Source organism: Homo sapiens, chromosome 1 (genome assembly GCF_000001405.40).
Source record: "Homo sapiens chromosome 1, GRCh38.p14 Primary Assembly".
Lineage (NCBI taxonomy): Eukaryota > Metazoa > Chordata > Mammalia > Primates > Hominidae > Homo > Homo sapiens.
The window spans coordinates 109,464,037-109,483,317 of NC_000001.11; the positions used below are offsets into that span (position 1 = coordinate 109,464,037).

At 48.5% G+C, this 19,281-nt stretch overlaps 1 protein-coding gene across 4 annotated transcripts, besides 3 other annotated features; it reads left to right on the forward strand.

The window, feature by feature from the left end:
• Positions 1,941–2,442: an enhancer, noted in NCBI's record as "H3K4me1 hESC enhancer chr1:110008599-110009100 (GRCh37/hg19 assembly coordinates)". NCBI's record gives its function as "activates a minimal SCP1, AML or CMV promoter by ChIP-STARR-seq in naive H9 embryonic stem cells {active_cell/tissue: H9 hESC(naive)}" and the evidence as "EXISTENCE:reporter gene assay evidence [ECO:0000049][PMID:30033119]".
• Positions 2,443–2,942: an enhancer, noted in NCBI's record as "H3K4me1 hESC enhancer chr1:110009101-110009600 (GRCh37/hg19 assembly coordinates)". NCBI's record gives its function as "activates a minimal SCP1, AML or CMV promoter by ChIP-STARR-seq in naive H9 embryonic stem cells {active_cell/tissue: H9 hESC(naive)}" and the evidence as "EXISTENCE:reporter gene assay evidence [ECO:0000049][PMID:30033119]".
• Positions 2,510–18,098, forward strand: SYPL2 (synaptophysin like 2). 4 transcript variants are annotated; one of them, XM_011541283.3, is made up of 7 exons: positions 2,510–2,861; positions 3,023–3,097; positions 11,545–11,669; positions 12,740–12,941; positions 13,782–13,973; positions 15,342–15,508; positions 16,082–18,098. In XM_011541283.3, exons 1-7 carry the CDS (start codon positions 2,808–2,810, stop codon positions 16,095–16,097), a joined length of 831 nt encoding a protein of 276 aa, XP_011539585.1. In that variant the 5' UTR covers positions 2,510–2,807; the 3' UTR covers positions 16,098–18,098. The 4 variants fall into 4 exon arrangements, with proteins under 4 accessions (XP_011539585.1, NP_001035799.1, XP_011539586.1 ...); NM_001040709.2 differs by having other exon boundaries at positions 15,342–18,098; XM_011541284.3 differs by lacking the exon at positions 13,782–13,973.
• Positions 13,497–14,016: an enhancer, noted in NCBI's record as "H3K4me1 hESC enhancer chr1:110020155-110020674 (GRCh37/hg19 assembly coordinates)". NCBI's record gives its function as "activates a minimal SCP1, AML or CMV promoter by ChIP-STARR-seq in naive H9 embryonic stem cells {active_cell/tissue: H9 hESC(naive)}" and the evidence as "EXISTENCE:reporter gene assay evidence [ECO:0000049][PMID:30033119]".

Consider the following 19,281-nt stretch of genomic DNA (forward strand, 5'->3'; position numbering starts at 1 on the left):
GTGCAGCGCTGTTTGTAAGAGAGAATCTTTGGAAACAACCTAAATGCCCATCAATATGAGAATAAATAGACTGCAGTATGCGTATGTATGTAATAGAATTCTATATAGCTAAAAGGAATGAACTAAAGCTACAGGCATCAGGCTAGATGACTCTCACAAACACAACATTAAGTAAAAAAGTGAGTTGAAGAAGGTTACCTAAAGCATGATACCATTTAGATAAAGTTTAAAGCAATTTGAAAAACAATACTACATCTGATGGGTTTCTAGGTATTGCTCCTATAGTTATATACATAGAAAAAGTAGTAAACCATGCATGAGACTGATAAAAAAACAAATTCAGAATTGGATAATGGATATTTCTGGGGAGGAAGGAGGGAGGGAGTGACATGAGGTGATATACAGGTTTTCAATTTTATGCATTTTTTTCTTTTTTAAAGAATGGATTTAAAGAAAATAATGGATTTGAGACAAAAAAGAGTTAAAGATTAACAAGGCTGGTTGGTGTGTAAGTGGATTTTTGTTGTGTTATTCTGATTCTTTTTTGATTGTGTTGTATTCTGTATGTATATTGTTGAAGACATTGGTAATGTGTATGTTTTTGTGTTTGTGTAGTGTGGCATTCACATATATCACACTATTTAATTTTTATGACAGCTTCGTGAAGTGAGTGGAACATAAATTATTATCCCTATTCCATAGAACAGGAACCTAAGACGGCAGAACAATTTTTAAACTGTGGACTGGGGACTGGGCTAAGCTGTTCCTTGCTTAGTCTAGATTTGCATGGAAATCCACTGGAGAAGTTTCCTTCAAGTCCATGTGGCCTGATCCAGCCCGAGCTGCCTTCCTCACGTCTCTCTCTAAATCCCAAGGCTCTGGGAAGGCACTTACTCAATAGGGAAGCGACTTGTATAGATAATAGCCAAATGTTTGTTCAAAAGGCATTCATTCTGATGTGCTGGGGGGAGCGGTTGGGGGGGCGGACCTGCAGGAATGACTTGGATGAGACGGATACATATTTACAAGCCAGTGCACAGGAATTTGTCCTTGGACAAATCACTTAACCTTTTACTACTTATATTTATGCTCTCGTAAACCAAGTGTGGAATATTCTCAACTGCTCACCCCTGCCAAATGCTTTTCAAAAGTTAGAGACCAAGTTACAGTTAAAAAAATGCAACGACTTCAACCCAACCAGTCCCTTCCCTTCCCTTCTTCCCTTCCCTTCCCGTTCTTTTTCTTTCTTTTTTTTTCCTCTCTCTCTCTCCCCACTTCTGTCTGCCTTTTTTCTTTTTCTTTTTTTCTTTTTTTTGACACAGTCTTGCTCTGTTGTCCAGGCTGGAGTGCAGTGGTGCAATCTCGGCTCACTGCAACCTCCGCCTCCCGGGTTCAAGTAATTCTCGTGCCTTACCCTTCGGAGTAGCTAGGAGTACAGGCACGTGCCACCACGCCCTGCTAATTTTTGTATTTTTAATAGAGACAGGGTTTCACCATGTTGGCCAGGCTGGTCTCGAACTCCTGGCTTCAAGTGATACACCCGCCTCCGCCTCCCAAAGTGCTGGGATTACAGGCTTGAGCCACCGCGCCTAGCCAGACGTCAACTTTTCAGTACGTTTCAATATATTCTTTGCGCCTCATTCCTCAAAGACCTTTTTTCACTCTCATTTAAATGGTAATGACCATTTTAAAGGAGATTAAGTTTCTACTTGTTAAAGATTAATAACTTTTTTTTTGGAGACAGAGTCTTGGACTGTCGCCAGGGCTGGAGTGCAATGGCGCGATCTCGGCTCACTGCAACTTCCACCTCCCGGGTTCAAGCAATTCTCCTGCCTCAGCCTCCTGAGTAGCTGGGATTACAGGCGCACATCACCACACCCGGCTAATTTTTTGTATTTTTAGTAGAGACGGGGTTTCACTATGTTGGCCAGACTGGTCTCGAACTCCTGACCTCGTGATCTTCTGGCCTCGGCCTCCCAAAGTGCTGGGATTGCAGGCGTGAGCCACCAAGCCTGGCCAATAACTTTTAAATCACTAACATACAAATGTCTTTTGTTGTTTTAAAAAAAAATCAAAACAATACCTAGCTAGACAGGATAAAAAATCAGCAGCTTATATTCTATCGCCCTTTTGTCGGTACTGGCGGTATGTTAATCGTGAGGCTTAGAACCTTGTTTCACAGCCCTGATCGTGCCTTTTGAGAATCTTTTACGTTCTGGATATTCTGGTATGGAAGAGGAGAAAAACCGGCGCTGGGCAGTTTGCAATCCAGGAAAATAGGGAAGGATAAACCTGAAGCCTGTGCGTCCAGGTGCGCCTGGCTAGGGTTTCCGACGGCCGCGGTGTCTCGGTGGGGACCGGTCCCGGAGGCTTCGGCGAGGAGGACCCGGAGTCCCCCCCGCCCCGCGGCGGAACTAACCACGGAGGCCTCTGGTCCCTTTAAGGTGCCCGGCGAGCGGAGAAAGGGAGCAGAGGGGGCGGGAGGAGGGTTCGGGAGCGCACGCCACGTGACCCGGCGGCCAAGTTCGCTGCGAGTTTGACAGAAGTTTGAATCCGAGTCGGGGGCTTTCTGCTGCCGGCGGGGCACCGCGGCGGCCGCAGCCTCTGAGAGCACGAACAGCAGCGCCCCCGCGTCCCAGCCAGCCAGCCAGCCAGACTGGACTCCGGCCCACCGACGGCCGCTCGCGCTCCGGCCCCGCTCGCCTGCTCTGCCCCGGACCTGCAGCTCCCCGCTCCCCCGCCGTGTCCGCCGCCTCCCGGCCAGAGAGCCAAGCCACCACGCCGCGCCCAGCGCTCGCCGCGCCAGCATGTCCTCGACCGAGAGCGCCGGCCGCACGGCGGACAAGTCGCCGCGCCAGCAGGTAGTCCCTGCGCGCCCAGGACTCTCACCCGCCCCTCTCCACCTAGATGTCGGGCTGCACACTTATCCCACCCCTGGACCGCGTGTGAGTGGGGCAAGGGGACCAGCGCCTTCCCAGGGTTCCCCACCGCCCTGACCCCCCGGCCGGCTGTGTCTCCGCAGGTGGACCGCCTACTCGTGGGGCTGCGCTGGCGGCGGCTGGAGGAGCCGCTGGGCTTCATCAAAGTTCTCCAGTGGGTGAGTCGCTGCCCCGGCCCCGGGCTATTTCGGGAGCCTGGGCTGTGACGCTGACCTGAAGCAATGGAGCCAGGGTGGGGGCTGGGGAGGTGCTGCGGCCGGGCCACGGCGGAAGGGTGGGGGGCGGCGACAGGTGGGCGGGGGAGGGGCGGGCTGGGGCTGCTTCTCCGGACTTAGTGGCAGGAGGGTGAAGAGCGAGGCATGCGGAGTCCCGGATTCGGTCCTTCTATGTGCAAGGAGCCTTTGCCCAGGGCGCTCACATTTCACCCGGGCGAGAGGACCCGGGTGTAACCTTTCCAGAACTCTGATCCTGCACATACCACTCCTTGGTGACGGGAGGGGGGAGAAGGACGACGGGGACGAGGTCCGCTCTTCACCAAGAGGGAAGCCGCAGAGGGCAAAGGAGGGAAGGAAGCAGGCGATGGAAACCGTCCTGCCCCCAAACCCACCAGGGCCTGGATGATCCTGCAAGTACTGGGCTCAGGGGACAGGCTCTCGGCTCGCCGTTCCCTTTTGAGGTCACTGGAGTAATCCGAGTTCCTGTAAATGAGTGAGGGAGTGGATGAATGAATGAACGGAGCTTGTGGTTCTATGATTAAATAAAAGAAAAAAATAAGAATAAAAATCACGGCATGGCTAAAATGTGGCATGTAGAATAAAATGGAACACTGATCTGAGAAGCTGGGGCCCTGGGATCCAGACCTAGACTGGCCTTTTCCAGCTATGTCACCTTGGGCAATTCATTTCTCTGGACTTCAATTTCCAACACTAGTTAGATGTTGATCAGAACCTTCCTAGGGTCTCCTTATGCTCTAAATAGTTTGGTGTGCCAGAATATGGCCCTAGGTTAGACTTACTTTGTGACCTTGAAAAAGTCACTTGCTCAGGTCCTCAGTTTCCCCTGTTACAGTCTAGTGGAAATACTATCTTGCTTCACTAGGCCAGTGCCTAAGGCCTCCTGGGTATAAATTAGGAATGTGGACAGGTGCAGTCAATTTCTCAAATCATAAAGACTTGTAGGGGGCATTTAGTGCACTATTGCAGAAGAGATTTTAAATTAGACAATCCACATACCAAATGGTGTGTGAATAACTTAATTAATGTGCTCTCAGTACAGAATTCAGCTAGGGAATAAGTTACCATTAATACTGAGGAGGATTGAGTTCTACAGGGCTTTGGAGACAAGAATTAGCACTGTGACACCAGTTCTTAAATCATGGTTTGGATGAGAATAATCAAATCTGGAACCCAGGGGCAAAAGTGCATTTGGGATTATCGGGCCAGCCTGGGAGCTCCCAAGTGCAAACTCTGGGACCTGGTGGGGACTCTCCACCTTTCTTACTGCCTCAAGAGTGGTTAGACCAATTGCTGATTGAGCTCTTTTGCCTTTGGCCCCTTCCCTGTTCTGATCCACCACTCAAGTGCCAGAGGGAGCCATATAAAAATGATATTAAGGCTCTGAGTGACTGGCATCCAGAACTGGAAGAGCCATTATAAGCAATTTTACCATTAAATTAGACAAATGGATCCAACAGAATTTGAGACAGACTGTCAAAGGATAAGGGAAACAATGAGGTTATTAGACCATGGACTCCTCTCCCTTGGAGGGATTCTGAAAAGCTTCCTTCTTCAATCCTGCCATCCTTCCCTCCACGCAGCACTCCAAATACCCACAACATTTCTGTAAAGGCTGTACAAAGCAATGCCCAGGGAAATGATGCAGTCTTGGGGTCAGCACTAATGACCTAGGAATTAAGATCTGATAGACTTTTATGATCTTCAAGTACTTAGAAAGGGGGTTGTGCAAAACAGAGACCCTTTTCTCTCAGAATGCTAAAACCTGGGCCCTGGGCTAGACTCTGAATTCAGATTTCATTCACAGGGTAGCATCACAAAGAAACGTGCTTTGCTTTTATTGCCATCCCAGGTAGCCTGAATTCAGGGCGCCAGTTTCACTTGCTTTGAAGCTCTGCAGATGAGGTAACATAAAAAGTAAACAGGCATTAGCACCAGAAATGACAGTGGAAATGTCATTTGAGTTTTTCACTCATTTCCTGTTTGGAGGGATCAAATGCTCCTGATTGGAGAAGGAAAAAAGAAAACACAAAGCTTGCAGTTATTGTAATGGTAATTGAGAACTTTTGTTGTCATTATTACCAAAAAGCAAAGATTTTACTGGAATCTTTGTGAAAAGAAAGTAATGTTATTCTTTTATTTGTCAGGAGCTTATCTTAGAGTTTTTTTTTTTTTAATTGAGAAATCAACTAATCTCACCTCAATTCCAATTCTGGAGTCTCACTAAGTCTATACTAAGCTAGCAAAAATAACCTGGACATAGACCAATTATTGGAGAACTAGTTTTTTTTTAAAAAAGAAAAGGACATCAAATCATAGGAGTTCAAGATAAAAAAGAAAAGAAAAGAAGTATCTTAAAAAAAATTTTCTTTTTAAGAAAAAGACACACTTTGGGAGGCTGAGGTGGGAGGATTGCTTGAGCCCAGGAGTTTGACACAAGCCTGGGCAATAAGGGGAGGTCGCGTCTCTATTAAAAAATAAAATTAGTTGGGTGTGATGACACATGCTTGTGGTCCCAGCTCCTTGGGAGGCTGAGGCTGGAGGATCATTGAGCCCAGGAGGTCGAGGCTGCAATGAGCTGCGCACTCCAGCCTGAGTGACAGAACTAGACCTTGTCTCAAAAAAAAAAAAAAAAAAAAAAAAAGGAAAATAAAACAAAAGAAAAAGGAAGATAGAGACAGATTTTTGAGGTCAGATAGGCTTCGGTTTAAATTGAGTCCCCTCTGCTTTCTTGCTTTCTAGCTCTGGAACCTTGAGTGAGTAAATATCAAATCTTTTTTTTTTTTCAGACAGGCTCTAAGATAGAGACTGGCTCTATCGCTGAGGCTGGAGTGCAGTGGTACGAACACATCTCACTGCAGCCTAAATTTCCAAGCTCAGGCAATCCTCCCACCTCAGCCTTTCAAGTATCTGGGACCAAAGGCACATGCCACCATGCCTAGCTAAGTTGTAAAAAATTTTTGTAAAAATCGGGTCTTGCTATGCTGCCCCAGCTGGCTTTGAGTTCCTGGGCTCAGGTGATATTCCCACCTCAGCCTCCAAAAGTGCTGAGATTACAGGCATGAGCCTGTTACCTCGCCTAAACAAAACAAAAAACAATGAGATAAGCGTGGGAGTAGGACCTGGGGAGAGAATTTGTCTTCCTTGTGCTCTGAGCTAACTGGTGATGTTAGTGTCCTCAGGACTGTCACAGGATTATCACCAGCGAGCATGTCAGTGCCAAAGGGGAGCCTCATCCTTAAACTGGAAAGGTTTAAGGTTGCAAAAGAGATGCAGAAGCAAGAGGAGGCGGAGGGCAGAAAATGACCGTCGCTGTCCCAGCAATGGAGGTCCAAGAGGAGAAAGGCTGGTTGGCACCAGAATGCTAGAACTCCCCCTTGTCTCAGGTCCTCTACCTCTCCTTGGCTGCTCTTTATAACCAGTTTGCTCATCTCAGAGCCTTGTGCTTGGTGACAGGGGTGATTTTAGTTCTTTCCTTCTCTTCTCTGTGTCTCAGTCACTTGGCAAAGTTAGGGAAGAAAGCAAATCTGGAGTGGAAAGATGGAGGGTTAGGAGACATGGAGGGGGTTGGGAGAAAGTGTCTTTCTGAGCTTCTGCACCCCAAGGCACAGAGCTACTCCTTCCCTCCTTGTAATCCTCAATGCACATGGTAGAGATCTCTTCTTTAGCCTCAATAACTCTGGGATGCAGTGTTTGTTTTTATTATTTTTTGTTTGTTTGTTTTGCTATGACGCTCCTTTCTTGATGTGAATTCTCAAGAGCAGGAGATAGGTGTTATTCGTCTTCATATCTCCAGCACCTGGCACAAGGTAGATGCTCAATCAGTGTTGAGTTAATGAGCAAATGAAATGGAAAGAGCACTGGACAGGGAATCAGGAGATGTGAATTCTAAGCCTGGCTCTCACATTAACTAAATGTGACTTTGGGAAAGTGACTTAATCTTTTGGGGCTTCACAGTCCCCCTCTGTGACATGAGATGATTGGGTGTGAGAATCTTTGAGGTCCCTTTTGTTCTGCTGTTCTGTGAACCTGTGATTCCCCTCAGATGTTCTCATTTTGCTCTGGTACCATCCGACTGTATAGTGTTCAGATTTAAACATATATTTTGGTAAATAAAAAATCATCGTGTAAGATCCCTGACTTGAAAAGAATCAGAATACAATAAATACTAAAGTTATTGTGGGTGTATTTTGCCCTCTGAGGAATCCGAAAGCATGATTCAGGATTGTCAGAACCTCAGGACCGTCGTTTAGACACAGCAGAACTTTTGGTAATAATGGAAAAGTTTTAGAATCGGTGCTCTCTAAGATAGTACCTGCTAGTCACATGAGGCTATTGGGCACTTGAAATGTGCCTAGCGTGACTGAACTGAATTTTTTTTTTTTTAGTAGAGACGGCATTTTGCCATGTTGGCCAGGCTGGTCTCGAACCCCTGACCTCAAGTGATTTGCCCGCCTTGGCCTCCTAAAGTGCTGGGATTACAGGCATGAGCCACCACACCCGGCCTGAACTTTTTTGTTGTTGTTTGATCCAGTCTCACTCTGTCATCCAGGCTGGAGTGCAGTGGCGTGATCATAGCTCATTGCAGCCTTGAACCCCTGGGCTCAAGTGATCCACACACTTCAGCAGCTGGGACTACAGGCATGTACCACCATGCCCGACTACTTTTTTTTTTTGGTAGAGATGGAGTCTTGCTATGATACCCAGGCTGGTCTTGAACTCCTGGCCTCAAGTGATCCTCCCACCTTGCTTCCCAAAGTGTTGGGATTACAGGTCTGAGACACTGCACCCGGCTTGAATTTTTTATTTAATTTAATTCTGATTAACTTAAACTTAAATAATCAAGCTTGGCTAGGGGCTACTGTTTTGGATAGTGCAGCTCTAGAGTATGAGCCCCATGAGGACAGAGATTTTGTTATTCTTTTTCTTTTTTTGAGATAGGGTCTCGCTCTGTCACCCAGGCTGGTGTCCAGTGGTGTGATCATGTAGCTTTGACCTCCTGGGCTCAAGAGATCTTCCCACATCAGCCCCCAGAGTAGCTGGGACCACAGATGTGCATCACCACACCTGGCTAATTTTTCTTGGCTAAATAAAAAGTTGGCTAGTCTCAAACTCCTGGGCTCAAGTGATCCTCCCACCTCAGCCTCCCAGAGTGCTGGGATTACAGGCATGAACCACCATGCTTGGCCTTTTTTCTCTTTTGTTCACTACTAGATAATAGTGCCTGGAACCATGCATAGTAGGCACTGTACATGCTAGGCATAGTACATGCTCTTAAATTTTATCTTTCTGTAGATGCTCAGGAGTGCCTTTCAGGAGAGTGCTGGTGAAGAGAAGGCTCCATAACTGACCGTTCACTGCCCCCAAGTTTTGAGTACCTACTTTCTTTTTCTTTACTTTTTTTTTTTTTTTTTTTTTTTGAGATGGGGGTCTTGTTCTGTTGCCCAGCCTGGAGTGCAGTGGCATGATCATAGCTCACTGCAGCCTTGAACTCCTGGGCTCAAGTGATTCCTCCCCATCAGCCTCCTGAGTAACTGGGACTATTAGCAGGCACCACCATGCCCAGCTAATTTTTTGTTTGTAGTTTCTGTAGGGGAGGGTCTTGCTATGTTGCCTATATGTTGCTAGTCTCAAATTCCTGGGCTCAAGCCATTCTCCTGCTTGGCCTCCCAAACTGCTGGGATTACAGCTGTGAGCCACCATGCCCGGCCCCTGCTTTCTTAAGGAACCTATAAGGAGCCATTCACTGACTAACTGCCAACGGGTAAAAATATTTCCAACTGTGCTGCCCTTCCCAGAATGTGACACCCTAATCACATCCAGTTCTGGGCACCAGAAGCTAAGAGGAATAAAGAAACTTCTAAGAGGAATCAGATGGCCACAGAACTGACAAAAGATTAGCGAATTCCTATGAGGAAGAGTTAGAGAAGTTCCACTATTACAATGGTGAGGCCACTTTGAGTAAGTAAAGGGTAATGATGCAGAGGCTTCGAGTGACTCTTCTCTACCTCTGTGAAGAAGGCGGGCAGACAGGGCTCTACTGCAGTCTTCATCATTTAATTCAGGAGAGGAGGGTATTTAGGCATTGGAGGGAGGTTTTACTGTCTTCTTTCCCAGATATCTTTAAACATGGAGACAATTCTCATTTGTCTGGAATAAACCTCCTGAAAACAGAGAGGTGCCCATTATTTGGAGAGAGGCCAATGGCTCCAGCATGGAGATCTGCAAGGCCAGGCGCTGCAAGCCGGGGGCAGTGGCACTGGACACCTCGCAGGGGCAAAGCACAGCTGTTGGCAAGCCCAGTCAAGAGTACACTGACAGTGTTACTCTCAGAGAGTGAGAGAGTTCCAGGGCTGGAAAGGGCCTCTAGATTATCTACTCCAAACCCCTCCATTTAAGATGAGGAAACAGGCTGGGCTCATGCCTATAATCCCAGCACTTTGGGAGGTTGAGGCGGGCGGATCACAAGGTCAGGAGACCGAGACCATCCTGGCTAACACGGTGAAAACCCGTCTCTACTAAAAAAAATACAAAAAATTAGCTGGGCATGGTGGTGGGCGCCTATAGTCCCAGCTACTCAACAGGCTGAGGCAGGAGAATGGTGTGAACGCAGGAGGTGCAGCTTGCAGTGAGCCAAGATTGCGCCACTACACTCCAGCCTGGGCGACAGAGCAAGACTCCATCTAAAAAAAAAAAAAAAGATGAGGAAACAGACTCAGAGAGCAGAGTGACTTATCAGAGCTCACCTGGCTAATTAGTGACAGGACCAGGTCTGGAACCTAGGTTTCCATACTCCTAGTTCAGGTCTCCTTTCACTCCATAATGCTAACAAGCATTGGCAAAATAAAGTGCATATAGCTTCTATTCTAGACTCTGGATGCAGGGCTGACATACAGATCAGCTGTCTTCCAAGTGCTTAATGTCCAAGACACTGAGTCTCGAAGAAAGATACAGAGAGTGAACAATTAAGAGAATAAGCTCATTGCTTAATAAGAACATGACATTGTGTACAAGTCAAAGGTAAGTGCACAGGAAATCCAATCTGAGCAGATGATGTGGAGGATAAGACATTTCAATTTCTCACCTCCTTTTCTTTTTTCTTTTCTTTTCTTTTCTTTTTTTTTTTTTTTTTGGCGGTGGGCGGGAGAGGGACAAGGTCTCATTCTGTTGCCAGGCTGGAGTGCAGTGGCACGATCTCGGCTCACTGCAACCTCCGCCTCCCGGGTTCAAGTGATTCTCCTGCCTCAGCCTCCCAAGTAGCTGAGATTACAGGCATGCGACACTCTACCGCCAGGCTGATTTTTGTATTTTTAGTAGATATGGGGTTTCACCATGTTGGCCAGGTTGGTCTCAAACTCCTGACCTCAAATGATCCACCCGCCTCAGCCTCCCAAAGTGCTGGGATTACAGGTGTGAGCCACCGCACCTGGCCTCTCACCTCCTTTTCTAACCAAAGTGTGTTTCCCAGAAAGAAATCTGAAAATCATAGGATGAGGAAATTTTATTTCACTTGAGAGAGAAGGTGTAGTAAAATGTGAGGAAAGGTGGAGAAGAAAACAATTCGAGTGACCTGAGACACCTCTGGATCTTAACACTGAGAAATGGCAGCATCAACAGATGACAAAGGGAAATACCAGTGGGGAAACAGTGGAGACTGATAAGGCAAGTGGAGGGTACTTTTCTCTGGGCTTGAGCCAAGATTGTCACATTGGCCCAGCCAGCACTATTGCTAGAAGGCCATGTGCCTTTTGGGGAAGAGGAATTAGGCTGTCAGTACTATGGGACAGTAGTATGGCCCATCTGGGGTGGCTTGGTAGAAGCTGGCCCCTCCAGCTATACCTCCACCAAGGCAGGAAGCCACTGGAAGTTAGCAACTAGGAAACAAGATTAGATGACTAGTTCAAAGGAGAAATGAAAAGCGTTCTAGGCATGTCTGATCTAGGTTGATGCAGGGGAATCTTTTTGAGTGTGTCTCTCCCTTGGGAAGGAAATTCAAGTCTATCTGTAAGCTAGAAGTTTCCTAAAGCCTGAATTGCAGAGGTTTTGTGTTAGTCATCTTAAGGAGGCTACCTGTGGTCCCCAAGTCATGCCCAATGGAGAGATCTGGCAACTGTCCATTTCCTGCCTCTTCATCTCCCTTGCAGACACCACTCAGTCAACCTTGTATTCATTTGGCTATTTGGTCCAGCAGCCTGAGGCTGGAAGATAAATGGAAGCCATGGGTTTCTACCTAGGAAGAACTTGATTAAAGGGGATCCTCACTCTCCCCCACTCCCGCACTTAATGTCTGCACCTGCGGGGAGTCACGGTTAGTTCTCGACTTTGGCCAGTTGAGGCCTTCTGACTCTCAAAGAGGCTTCACTCTCTCTCAGCTCTTTGCTATTTTCGCCTTCGGGTCCTGTGGCTCCTACAGCGGGGAGACAGGAGCAATGGTTCGCTGCAACAACGAAGCCAAGGACGTGAGCTCCATCATCGTTGCATTTGGCTATCCCTTCAGGTGAGCAAGAATTGGTTCCAACCCAGCACATCATCTCTCACTTGACTGGCAGGACCTGCTTGGTCTCTTCCTCCTCCAGAAACCTAAAAACCATTCATTGCGTGCCACTCCAGATTCAAATAGAATGACAAAACTTAGATCCTTTCTGCTTTTTAGCAATTTCAGACACATTGACCAGAGCAAAACGTAAGGGAAATACAGATTGATCACTGTTATAATAATGTTCCAGTCCATGGACAACCCATGGCAGGTCACACCAGCTCATACAGAAAGAGCCAATGCAGTTTGGGATGGAGGCTTACAGGAACCTGGACAAGCTGGACAGGTCTCTCTGACCCTCAGTAGCCTCCTCTCTGCCTTGAAGGTAGGGAAGCTTATTAGTACTTACATCCTAAAGAGTTGATGTGGGATCCTCAGCCAGTACGACCAGGATACAAGTGGGCACACCTTGACAGGGAGGTAGAAGTGATCTCTTTTCTGGGTATTTGAGAGCTTAGGAAGTAGGGAGCCCAGGTGTTCAGGGGAAAATGGGGATGAGGCTCACCTTTTCAGAAATTTCTAGTATCAGCACCCAAGTTATATTAACTGTCTCATATATAATAGGCTGTGTTTTTCTCTTTAATTTGTCCACTGTCTCATTGGAAAGCCCAATAAAGCCTGAGAATGGGTGATTCCAACCTTATCTTGGCCACTCTGGGCCTGCACTTTCCAGAGGCAGAATGAAGCTGATCTGCCTAGTGGTTTGGCTACCAGAAAGAGAAGAACTACATATATTGCAGTTGTGACCTAAAGGGCCCTGGAGACACTTGGGAATACATGGTCACCATGTCTGGGCAGGGTAGATGAGTGGGGTGGGTTGGGGAGCAGCTGAGGGGAAGGTAGAGTTTTACTGGAAATTTCGGGGGAGTTCCCATCTTAACTGCAAGGTTCCTTCCAGAAACTTGCCTCCTTACATGACCCCTTTCTTGGCTCTGTAAGAGTCCCCTGCTGAGAACTAGCACAGGACTACTTCTGGGCCAGGGAGAGAGAGGATTGCCTGAGCTCAGGATGGCCTCCCCTGCCACCTGCAGGTTGCACCGGATCCAATATGAGATGCCCCTCTGCGATGAAGAGTCCAGCTCCAAGACCATGCACCTCATGGGGGACTTCTCTGCACCCGCCGAGTTCTTCGTGACCCTTGGCATCTTTTCCTTCTTCTATACCATGGCTGCCCTAGTTATCTACCTGCGCTTCCACAACCTCTACACAGAGAACAAACGCTTCCCGCTGGTGGTGAGTCAGCACAGGCCAGAAGGAATGGGGTGGAGAAACAGATGTTTGTGAGGGGGTTGAGGTCAGAACTGGAGCAGAGGACAAGCATGGCGGCTTCCACCCCCATGGTGGAACCTCTGCCTCCATCAACCTCCCGTTGCTTGCTCCTGTTCACAGGAGGCACAATAGCACCATACACAAGCAGGCTCTGGAGTTAGACTGCCTGGGTTCAGATCCCAGCATGGCCCCTTACTTGCTGTGTGATCTCGGACAAGTTAAATAACCTCTCTAAATCGCAGTTTCCTTAACTATAAAATGGGGATAAAATAATACCTGCTTCATAGTTTTGTGTGTGTATGTGAAAAAATGAGAATGCATGTATCTAGTACATAGTTAGTCTCAATAAGCATTAGCGATTATTAATATTATTCCTCTTTACTCTCTTCCTATCCCAGGCATGCAAGGCGGAAGGGGTGCCTTAAGGGACCCCATTTGCGTCCTGCAGTCTGCCACTTGTATCTGAGCAATGGTGATCAAAGAAAAAGCTGGGAGGGAAGAGTGGGGAATTTAGGCTCCACTTGGGATGAGTGGGTTTTGGGGTGAGGCTGACCAACGATGCCTTGGTACACTGTTGCCAGATCTTAGATCTGAGGGCATTAGCAGGGCTAGCCTGAGTGGCAGGACTCCTTTGGGGGCAGTGAACAGATGCCTCAGGACCACCTGGGTTCTAGGTGTTGGGTAGGATGGGAAGAGGCAACTGTCCTGGCACCCTGGGATTGCCAGTATCATGGCAAGTGGAAAAGAAGCAAGGGAATCATGGGGCCTTTCTGAGTGTATTTCCCATCCCTCTGCTCCTCCCAGGACTTCTGTGTGACTGTCTCCTTCACCTTCTTCTGGCTGGTAGCTGCAGCTGCCTGGGGCAAGGGCCTGACCGATGTCAAGGGGGCCACACGACCATCCAGCTTGACAGCAGCCATGTCAGTGTGCCATGGAGAGGAAGCAGTGTGCAGTGCCGGGGCCACGCCCTCTATGGGCCTGGCCAACATCTCCGTGGTGAGACCTGTGGCCACTGCAGGAAGCAGCACCAGCCCTGCTGCCCAGGCCTGTCCCAGCTAGCAGGTCCTGAAAGGAAAGAGAGGGTGTCCCAGAGCTGGTGTCCCCTGCACCTGGAGCTGGTGCCCTCACTGCGCTTCATGCTGGCTGCTGGCTCCTGGCTGACCCTGAGAGGACATTTTGGGATGAGGGGAACCCAAAAGCCACTTAGCCTTCTGTTCCTTCCTCCTTCTGCACTCTGCCTCCAATTCCCTTCTCATTTCCCCACCTCTAGGCACGCTCTCTGTGATGTCTCCCCTCCTCCTGCCTGTTCTACACAATGTGTGTGAACACATAAAGGGGAGCCTGGGGCTGTGGCTGAGCTTGAAGCTGCGAGCAGACCCAGCATGAGTGGGAAGGGGCTTACTGTCACTCAGCCCTCCAGCCTGGAAAGGGGCTTTGGAGCAGTAGTGGGTCTGCTGGATGCATATGGATTTGGCCATCCCAGTTGTTAGAATGTTGAAATATGTCCATATCCATTGGTAAAGAGCTGAGGTCTTGAGCTTCTCAAATGCTGCCCGTCATCCCAGCCACCTCAGCCCTGCTCTGAAAATGACTTGTTCCCACATCTGAAATGTTTAATGGCTGGCACACCAGGAACACACGTCTGGAACTTGCTGGAACCCTGCTTATGGTTCCCCCCCAAAAAAATTTTATTGTAGAAATGTTCACAGGTACAACAAAGTTGAAAGAATTTTACAGTGAATACCCATGCACTCACCACCTAGACTGTGCCATTAACTTTTTACTAGACTTGCTTTATCACATATTTATTCACTTCTTCATCCATCAATCCGTCTTGTTTTTAGTGCATTTCAAAGATAATTTGGGACATCAGTACACTTCCCTCTAAGTACTTCCTGCTGTGAGGTTTTTAAAATATGTTGAATAACTATTTGAACATAGCCCTGGCTAGGTGCCTGATCACAGGGAAGGAGCACCTTGGACAGCTCCTGCCACACCTACCTGGCGGAAGGTGCTCCGAACAGGGCCTCACGCGTGCTGTGGGAGGCGCCCCAGGGCTGACTTTTGCTTGGCTCCTTGCTATGCTTTGCACGATGCTCCTCTAAAGGGTCAGATTCTGCTAGTGACCAAGCTACAGCTTGGGTGCATGGTGTGGACAGAATTAGACACTTTCACCTGGGATTCCCCTAAACAGTTGATGGTCCTGAGCCCTGCCTCTATACCGAGCTCTCTGTCTTAGTCTTTCTAGTCCTCTGTGCTTCTTCCCTGCACAAGCCCCAACCCCAACTGCAATAGGAACTCCCCCTCCCTGTTCCCACAATGACCCCCTGACTATTCTCACAAATTCCCCTGATGTCTTTGCAGCTCTTTGGCTTTATCAACTTCTTCCTGTGGGCCGGGAACTGTTGGTTTGTGTTCAAGGAGACCCCGTGGCATGGACAGGGCCAGGGCCAGGACCAGGACCAGGACCAGGACCAGGGCCAGGGTCCCAGCCAGGAGAGTGCAGCTGAGCAGGGAGCAGTGGAGAAGCAGTAAGCAGCCCCCCACCTGGCTATTCCCGAACTGGACAGCACCTCTTCAACCACCTCCGGCTTCCAGGACCTTTCTCTTCCTCCTCCTCCAATTCCCCTCCCCCATCATTCTGGTCTTTGAGCTTTGAGACGATGGGCAGGCATCAGCTGTTGGAAACCTGGGCAGCCCTCTCAGTGGCTTCCTATCCTCCTTCTTGCTGGAGCCATGAATGGCAGGAGCTCAGTGCTTCTTGTGCAGTGCCTGGACCCAGGTATCTTACTTGGGGTCTTACTTGTACCCTTACAGTCTCTGAGAACCAGCCTCTGCTGCAGGTGAGGGTTGGGGGCAGGAAACCAGTGCTCTGAGACTGGTTCCTAGCAGCCACCTTTCTGTCAACCTGTCCGGCTTCAACAATATTAGGGGGAAGGGAAATCAGCTAGTAGCCTTCCCCTCTGGTCCCTTGTGTGGAGGCCCCAATAGTGGTTTGGCGACCCCTCCTCAGTGGCTGTCATCTAGTCCCTGCGTCTGATCTCCAGTCATCCCATGACTCAGTGTGCCTTCCACTGTCTTCTCTGGCCTCTGCCTGCCCACAGAATCCACCATGTGTGAACCAGAGAGGTCCACCAGCCTAGAAAACAGCCCTTCAGAGGGTCCTGATGAGGCCTTCCTGGACTCAGCTGGGAGCAAGATAAATTGCAACTGAGTTGCAGCTTCAAGAAAGTAAAGCCAGTAAGCTTGCTGGCAGAATCAATTTCTTCTATCCCCTCAATCCTCCCACCCACCAGGCTGGGGCACTTTCCACCAACACTCTAAACTCTACTTTAGAAACGCCCTATCTTCCTCCCTGTCCTCCTTCTTGGTCTCACACTTGGGACTCAAAAATGTGGAGTCAGGACCTGCCTCCTAATCCCCTTACTTCTCTGTCCATCTCCCTTCCCCAGCATCGTGCATCTGAGGCATTTGAGATCCTTTTTGAAGTCTGTCCAGGCCTTCCTTTTATTCCTGTGGGGCCAGACAGGGGCTTAGGAAGGGCCAAAGGACCATCATGAGGCTAAGTTGCCCCAGAGCCCCAGGATGGATGGGCCCATTTTTTCCTTATTCCCTGCTCAGTTTTTTCCCCTGCTCCTTCTCTAGTCCTTCTTTCATATTTCTCCTTCTCATCTTGAAAACAGGATGTTCCCTCTTCCCTTGCTGTCCCATTTCTCCCCTGTGTCCTTATTTCTCCCAGTCTCTATCCCCTCTCAAGTCCAGGGCAGGCCGATGCTATTGGTGCTTCTTCACTTTGGGACCCAGTTCCATATTTGTCTTTAGTGTATATCCTCTTCCTGATACCTCCTTCAGTCCCTCTCTGGGCCCCAAGGCTGAGAATCAGTGTTAACTGGGTAAGGATCATTTGCTTCCTACCCAGCTCAATCTGCCCTGGCCATAGGGCTTCCCAGGGAAGGAAGAAGAGGGAAGAATCCGACCACTTTCCAATCCAGTGCCAATTGGCCCACTAAGCATCCTAAAGGTGAATGTGCCCTGTGCCAATCTCTCCTCAGGACTGAGTCAACCCCCTTCAACCTCCTCACCTCTCTAAACACCATCCATAGTAACATGTGCATTACTGGGGTACCTAGGAGTCAGGACTTTTGACTTCAGGCCAGTCATTTCCTCCCGATGGGGAAAGGGTGAGATTTACATCCCCAAATGCTTGAGTCCCTCAGTGAAAGAATTAGTTTTTGTTTGTTTGTTTAAGATTTTGGGGAAGAGATTTGAGGAGGAAAGAAAGGAGATGGGGTGAGAGGGTTTTTAAGTCTGAAACTCTCTGTCATGAGCTGTCCCCATGGTTACTCAAGGACAAGGGGGGACAGTTTTGCCTACAGCTCCAGAGACACAGAGAACAAAGGGGTGACCTTCATTTTTCTTCAAGCCGGCCTCTGTGGGGGTCTGTGAGCAGCTTCTACTGGATCTTTGTTTGGATTCTGTGTCTGTATTTATAATTTATTTGAAATGTGCTGGGTAGTGTTCTCATTTGGGGGCTGAAGTTAGCAACTGGGCCTTCAGCTAGGGAAAGCAGTTGCGGGCAGGGGGTGGGGGGAGATTATATTCACTCCTGCCAAGGACTCCCAGCCCAGGACTCTCTTTAGAGCAAGGAAGCCTCGTTCTCTTTCTTCTCAAGAGGCTCTCTTGTTCTCCATCAGGAGAGCCTTGATTTAGGCTACGGCCTCACTCTCTATGGCCACCCTAAGAGGAAAGGCTACTTCACCTCATTACCTCCAGAGGGCTGGGCAGGGCCAAGTGCCTCATAGGACTCATGTTCTCTCCAACCAGGGCTGGCATCACTGCTTTGCAAAGTGGGGCCTGAGGTAGAAGAAGGTGTCTGGTTTCTCCAGCTGCTGTAGGAGGCTAATGGGCAGGGTACTTGCCCTTTGTCCCACTAGACTCTAACCCAGCACCAGGGTGCCCACCTAGGACCTTTCCTGGACATGAGTTTCCTTCACTATCATAGTCATGAGCCTCCTACTTCTGGGATTGCAGATCAGGGGTGGGGGGAGAATGTTGCATGTTGTTTTCTGGTGCTTGTTATTATATATTTGAATAAACAGTGCTGCAAGTACTTGCCATGAAGGATCTGAGACTGGAGTCCTTCCGGGGATTTATTTTTTCTTCCTCTCCCTTGCTTTAAGTTCTTGAACCAATATCAGGACTTTCACCAAGATATCATTCTACTGCTTTCCACTGTGCACCCCAAGCAACAAAGTCAGACTCTGTTGCTTGGGGTGCAGAGAGGAGAGCAGTTATTCCTAGCAGGCTCTGGTCTAGTGACATCTCCTCTTTTGGTGGCACCCAATTAGACCAAAGTAACTGGGACTCATTAGCAATTCTGGAGCAAACTCAAAAGGTGAGAGATAGTGGCTTCCACAAAGCTGTTTCCATTTGTTCTCCTACCATCTGTGACCCAAACAGGCTTCCTGTCAGGAGTTGAGGGCCATATGCTTCACTTTCTTAACTATCAGCTTCTTGTTGAACAAACTTGCACCTCTATCCCTCTTCAGAGAGTCACACACTACATTTACATCCCCTAGAAAAATACCTTGGGTACAATTGAACATTTAATTTTTACCTGATTCCTGGATGCCCTAGGGATCATCTGTGGGTCTCAGGTTGAGATTCCCTGCCCTCAGAGATTATTCTTGAAGTACTTACACCTTCCCTGGATGAAAAGGAGAAGAAAATCTGAGGTCTTGCTCCCCAACTTGTTTTCCCCTTAGCTAAAGGGTCAAGCGTCGGGGGTGAGGTGTGAGAGGTTGAGGAGGAAAAAGGATTAGTATTACTTTTTTAATGCGATGGCGGCGGGGGGGGGGCGGGAAATGGAGTAGGCAGACTTTTGTCTGATTGTGTGAGGGTGGGAAGAAATGTTATCAGCTGAGAAGATGAAAGAAATGGATGATTAAGGTACTTTCCAGACCTTAGCAAGGAAGATGACAGCTCTGATGAGAAATCTCCCTATGCCGAGGCTTCAGAAGCAGCCCTTCCAGCAGAGAAAGTATTCATTAGAAAAAGAAGGCAAAGTGATGGATGGAGTCAGGGTCCAGCCAGGGTTTGGGAAGAGGCTGTACAGGGTATCGATCGCAGTTCTCAAGAGAAGAGAGACAGATCAGCAGAGATGCTGCAAACACCAGCTGCCTCGGGGCCACCCCAGTTCTGGGGCTGGCTCTGGCTCGGAGACAGCCTTCTGTCATCCTGTCATCATGACAGGTGATCTTGGTCAGCTTGGCCAGGTCCTCTCAAATCCAGACAACGCCACGCC

Excerpts from the sequence above, each read along its gene's own strand:
- SYPL2 (XM_011541283.3), top strand. The coding sequence starts at position 2,808 with ATGTCCTCGACCGAGAGCGCCGGCCGCACGGCGGACAAGTCGCCGCGC. Across the intron at positions 2,862-3,022 it reads ACAAGTCGCCGCGCCAGCAG|GTGGACCGCCTACTCGTGGG; the intron begins GTAGTCCCTGCG and ends GTGTCTCCGCAG. Across the intron at positions 12,942-13,781 it reads ACAAACGCTTCCCGCTGGTG|GACTTCTGTGTGACTGTCTC; the intron begins GTGAGTCAGCAC and ends TGCTCCTCCCAG.